The sequence below is a fragment of the Homo sapiens genome, chromosome 11 (genome assembly GCF_000001405.40).
Source record: "Homo sapiens chromosome 11, GRCh38.p14 Primary Assembly".
Lineage (NCBI taxonomy): Eukaryota > Metazoa > Chordata > Mammalia > Primates > Hominidae > Homo > Homo sapiens.
In genome coordinates, this window is record NC_000011.10 from 65,089,447 (window position 1) to 65,095,580 (window position 6,134).

General features: G+C 48.0%; 1 annotated feature.

Moving 5' to 3' along the window:
• Positions 450 to 622: a silencer, noted in NCBI's record as "fragment chr11:64857368-64857540 (GRCh37/hg19 assembly coordinates)". NCBI's record gives its function as "represses an EF-1alpha promoter that drives an FKBP-Casp9 reporter gene in an ReSE screen in phorbol 12-myristate 13-acetate-treated (for megakaryocytic differentiation) K562 erythroleukemia cells {active_cell/tissue: K562(+PMA)}" and the evidence as "EXISTENCE:reporter gene assay evidence [ECO:0000049][PMID:32094911]".

Below are 6,134 nucleotides of genomic sequence, written 5' to 3' on the forward strand. Positions count from 1 at the left end.
TGAGGACCCAGCTGCATAGCTGGAAGGCATTCCCAGGTGAGGGGAGGCCTGTATTTGCTCTACCCTCTGGTGGAGAGGAATTACGAGAAGGGAAGGATCAACAGATTCTTCAGAGCTGTCCCGGGACCTTCCCCGTGCCCTTCCCAGGTGTGGCCCAGAAGGCACCTGGCTTTTCCATTCTCTCCCAAGATGTTCTTACAGGACCTGATGCTGGTCAGCTTTCTGCTCCGCCACCTTCAGGTGCTTGGAGCATTTTCACCTCTGTCAGTCTAAGAGTCCCATGAGACAGCTGGGGCTGGTGGCATAAGTCCTATTTGACACTTGAGTCTGAGGCAGAGGGAGGATGGTCTTCCTCAAGCTGTTATAGCCAGTGAGGGAGAGAGTCAATACTGAAACGAAGATCCGATACTACCTGAGGCTGTGCTGAGTGAGCAGGGTCACATGCAAGCCAGGAGGAAGAAATCTCCTCCATGCATGTGAGAGATGAGAACTAGGCTGGGTGCGGTAGCTCACACCTGCAACCCCAGCACTTTCAGAGGCCCAGGTGGGAGGACTGTCTTGGGCCAGGAGTTCAAGACCAGCTTGGGAGACAGCAAGACCCCATCTCTCTCTTTTTTGAGATGTAGTTTCACTCTTGTTGCCCAGGCTGGAGTGCGATGGCGCGATCTCGGCTCACCGCAACCTCCGCCTCCTGGATTCAAGCGATTCTCCTACCTCAGCCTCCCAAGTAGGATTACAGGCATGTGCCACCACGCACAGCTAATTTTGTATTTTTAGTAGAGACAGGGTTTCTCCATGTTGGTCAGGCTGGTCTTGAACTCCCAACCTCAGGTGATCCGCCTGCCTTGGCCTCCCAAAGTGCTGGGATTACAGGTGTGAGCCACCGCTCCTGGCCAGCAAGACCCCATCTCTAAAAAAAAAAAAAAAAAAATTTGCTGAGTGTGGTGGTGTGTGCCTTTAGTCCCAGCTACTCAGGAGGCTGAGATGGGAGGATTGCTGGACCCCAGGAGTCCCAGGCTGCAGTGAACTATGATCATGCCACTGTACTCCAAGCTGGGTGACAGAGAAAAAAAGAAAAGAAAAGAAAAAGGTGAGAACTCCAGGGCCGTCAACAAAATATGCCAATAAAACAGCCAGAAATGGTGTGGAGTGACATGAAAGCTCCCAGGGATTGAAGCAGGAGAAGAGGAGGGAGGAGGAGAGGACTTGATTTCGAACTCAGCCACCCCACTGCCTCCTGCCCAACTGTTTGCCCCAAAAGTTAGGTCCCAGGTCAGCCCAAGACCCACAGGCTGCCTCCCAGCAGTGGGATTAGAGCCTGCACCCACCATCTGTGCTTGCTGCCCAGTCTCCAGACAAGCACAATAGTTCTTCAGAGCCCCATCCTAACCACATGAAAGGGGTAATGCCCCAAGGCCCAGCTGTGGTCCCACTGTTGAAACAATTGTTTGGACCTCAGTCCTCATTTGAATACAAATGAACTTTTATACATTAAAGTTCCTAGCTCCTAATTTTATTTTATTTTTGAGACAGAGTCTCACTCTATCGCGCAGACTGGAGTGCAGTGGCATGATCTCGGCCCACTGCAACCTCCGCCTCCCGGGTTCAAGTGATTCTCATGCCTCAGTCTCCCAAGTAGCCAGGATTACAGGCGCCTGCCACCATACCCAGCTAATTTTTGTATTTTCAGTAGACATGGTATTTCACTATGTTGGCCAGGCTGCTCTTGAACTCCTGACCTCAGGTGATCCACTCTCTTTGGCCTCCCAAAGTACTGGGATTAGAGGTGTGAGCCACTGTGCCTACCCCTAGCTCCTAATTTTTAAAAATTATATACATGTAATATATGAATATGGGCTGGGTGCGGTGGCTCACACCTGTAATCCCAGCACTTTGGGAGGCTGAGGCAGGCAAATGACCTGAGGACGGGAGTTTGAGACCAGTCTGAACAACATGGAGAAACCCTGTCTCTACTAAAAATATAAAATTAAGCTGGGCGCAGTGGCTCACGCTTGTAATCCCAGCACTTTGGGAGGCTGAGGCGGGCGGATCACGAGGTTGGGAGTTCAAGACCAGCCTGACCAACATGGTGAAACCCCGTCTCTACTAAAATACAAAAATTAGCTGGGTATGGTGGTGCATGCCTGTAATCCCAGCTACTTGGGAGGCTGAGGCAGGAGAATCACTTGAACCCAGGAGGCAGAGGTTACACTGAGCCAAGATCGAGCCACTGCACTCCAGCCTGGGCGACAGACCAAGACTGTGTCTCAAAAAAAAACAAGAACAAAAACAAAATTAGCCGGGCATGGAGGCGCATGCCTGTAATCCCAGCTACTCGGGAGGCTGAGGCAGGAGAATCGCTTGAACCTAGGAGGTGGAGGTTGCGGTGAGCCGAGATTGTGCCATTGCACTGCAGCCTGGGCAACAAGATCAAAACTCCATCTCAAGAAAAAAAAAAAAAAAAAAATATATATATATATATATACACACACATATATGTATGTATGTATATATGAATATGTTCTTGTAAAATATTTGCATAATACACAAGCATGCAGAGGAAAATGTAACAGTCTCCCTGCTGCATCCCCACCACTGAAGTACCCCCTTCCCCAGTTTGGTGACTTGGCATCTTTTAGGTCCCTTCTTTATGTAACGGTAACTTCATACATCTAGATGTACATATACATGCATAAGTTTAAAGCATTTTTAAAAATCATATGTTTTGTCAAAGTGTACTTTTCAAAAAGTTAAAACCTACGTCTAAATATAGAATGAACACGTAACAAAGATTTATTAGGCCGGGTGCGGTGGCTCATGCCTGTAATCCCAGCACTTTGGGAGGCTGAGCTCCCAAAGTGAGCCTGAGAGGATCACTTGAGCTCAGGAGTTTGAGACCAGCCTGGGCAACATAGTGAAACCTCCTCACTACTAAAAATTAAAAAAAAATAAAATTAGCTGGTTGTGGTGGCCCTTGCCTGTAGTACCCCCTACTTGGGAGGCTGAGGCGGGAGGGTCATTTGAGCCCAGGAATTCGAGCCCTGCTTGCATCTTTGCAGTCCGGCCTGGGGGCATAGTGAGACCTTGTCTCAAAAAAAAAAAAAAAAAAAAAAAGATCTTTAACTCATCAGTGAGGGGATTTCCGCTTGGTAAGGTGGTAATGCACATGAGGAACTGGACAGGACGAGCATTTAAAGAGGAACGTTAGGCCAGGTGCAGTGGCTCATGCCTGTAATCCTAGCACTTTGGGAGGCCGAGGTGGGCGGATCACCTGAGGTCAGGAGTTCGAGACCAGCCTGGCTAACATAGTGAAACCCTGTCTCTACTAAAAATACAAAAAAACTAGCTGGGCATGGTGGTGTGCACCTGTAATCTCAGCTACTCGGGAGGCTGAGGCAGGAGAATCACTTGAACCTAGGAGGCAGAGGTTGCAGTGAGCTGAGATCGCGCCATTGTACTTCAGCCTGGGTGACAGAGCAAGTCTCAAATAAAATAAAATACAATAAAGAAGAATGTTAGCATATGATTACTAGGTTAGATGCAAAATGCAATGGATGTCCTACATGACAAAAATTATACCCTTTGAGGTTAGTTTTTCTACTGGATATACATGTCTTTCATCTCTCCTGGACAATATCTCCTTGTAATTTCAGTCTATTTACCTTACTAGTGAATAGCAAAATCAAACAACTGTGTATTCTTGTGGGTAAATAATCCTTGGGAGGGCTTCTGAAACGATGCCCCAGTGTGACAATGAGAGGACACACTACACTCTTGGACTTCCAATTTTTGGATTTTTCCTTTTTTTTTTTTTTTTTTTTTTTGAGACGGAGTTTTGCTCTTGTTGCCCAGGCTGGAGTGCAATGCCACAATCTCAGCTCACCGCAACCTCGGCCTCCCGGGTTCAAGCAATTCTCCTGCCTTAGCCTCCCGAGTAGCTGGGATTACAGGCATGCGCCACCAAGCCCAGCTAATCTTGTATTTTTAGTAGAGACGGGGGTTTCTCCATGTTGGTCAGGCTGGTCTCGAACTCCCGACCTCAGGTGATCCACCCACCTTGGCCTCCCAAAGTGCTGGGATTACAGGCGTGAGTCACTGCGCCCAGCCTAATTTTGTATTTTTAGTAGAGACTGGGTTTCTCCATGTTGGTCAGGCTGGTCTTGGACTCCCAACCTCAGGTGATATGCCCACCTTGGCCTCCCAAATTGCTGAGATTATAGGCGTAAGCCACCACGCCCTGCCTGGATGATTTGTCTTAACACTATTCTCCAACTTTTAAAAATGTTTATAGACTTCTTGGAGTAGACCTCAATCTATACCCTTTTTCATTTTCTTAAGATTATAGCTTCATAGGCTGAAATCAAGTATTTTAAATGGTTTCTAGACATCCCATTGATTCAGAGGTCAGCAAACTTTTCCCGTAAAATAGTAAATATTTTAGGTTTGGAGGACCATGCAGTCTCTGTGGTAGCTACTCAACTCTGCTCTGTGTTTTTTTTGTTGTTGTTTGTTTGGGGTTTTTTTTTGTTTGTTTTTGAGATGGAGTTTTGCTCTTGTCACCCAGGCTGGAGTGCAATGGCATGATCTTGACTCACTGCAACCTCTGCCTCCTGGGTTCAAGCGATTCTCCTGCCTCAGCCTCCCAAGTAGCTGGGACTACAGGCGCCCGCCACCAGGCCCGGCTAAGTTTTTGTATTTTTAGTAGAGATGGGGTTTCACCATGTTAGCCAGGCTGGTCTCGAACTCCTGACCTCGGGTAATCTGCCTGCTTTGGCCTCCCAAAGTGCTGGGATTACAGGCATGAGCCACCGTGCCTAGCCTCAACTAAGCAGCCATAGATCATATGTTAAAAAATGGGCGTGACTGTGTTCCAATAAGAGTTACGGAAAATGGGATATGAATTGCATATGATTTTCAGGTGTCATGAAATGTTATTTTTTTCCCAACCATTTACAAATGAGAAAACCATTCTAGCTCACAGACCATATGAAAACAGGTGGTGAGCTGTGTTTGGCCTGCAGGATCCCTGGCAAAGAACAAGTAAACCAGTGAGTTTTTCCATTCCAACCTTCCTCCAACAGCCCTTCATAAGTAATGTTTCAAGGGCCACTTTGATGAAGAAAGTCTTTTTCTCTTTTTCCTCCATTCCAACTCTGTGTCCTAATCTGAACTCCAGATCGTTCCCTGTCTTCATGAGCTCTTCACCTTTGTGCACAGCTGCACTTTTGTCCAAGTCAGAACCCTGGGAGAGCAGCTCAGGAGGCTGAGGTGGGAGGGGAGGTCAAGGTTGGAGTGAGCCAAAGATAGCACCACTGCACTCCAGCCTGGATGAAGAGCAAAACCCAGTCTCAAAAAAAAAGGAAAAGAGAACCCTGAGAGTTATCCTCCACATTTCCACCTAACCCTTCACTCAGCACATTCCATCAGTCACTTAAGCTCTGCTGAGTCTGTCCTTTTTTTTTCAATAATAGGGGGCGGGTCTCACTACGTTGTCCAGGCCAGTATTGACCTCCTGGGCTCAATCAATTCTCCCACCTCTGCCTTCCAAAGTGCTGGGATTACAGGCGTGAGCCACTGTGCCCGGCCTTAGGGGTTCTTAAATGTGAGTGTGTATCAGAACTACTTGGGAACTTTCTAAAAAGAAGCTAGATCTGAGAGAATCCCAGAGTCTTTTTTTTTTTTTCTTGCTTTGTTGCCCAGGCTGGAGTGCAGTGGCACCATCGCAGCTCAAGCAGTTCCCCCACCTCAGCCTCCCGAGTAGCTGGGACCACAGGCGTGCGCCATCATCCTGGCTAATTTTTGTTTTGTTTTTTTTGAGACAGAGTCTCGCTCTGTCATCCAGGCTGGAGTGCAGTGGCGAGATCTAGGCTCACTGCAACCTCTGCCTACCGGGTTCAAGCGATTCTTCTGCCTCAGTCTCCGAGTAGCTGGGACTACAGGCGCGCGCTACCACACCCGGCTAATTTTTGTATTTTTAGTAGAGACGGGTGTTTCACCATATTGGCCAGGCTGGTCTCCAACTCCTGACCTTGTGATCCGCGCCCCCACCCCCCCGGCCTCCCTAAGTGCTGGGATTACAGGCGTGTGCCACCGCGCCTGGCCTGTATTTTTTTTTTATAGAGACGGAGTTTCGC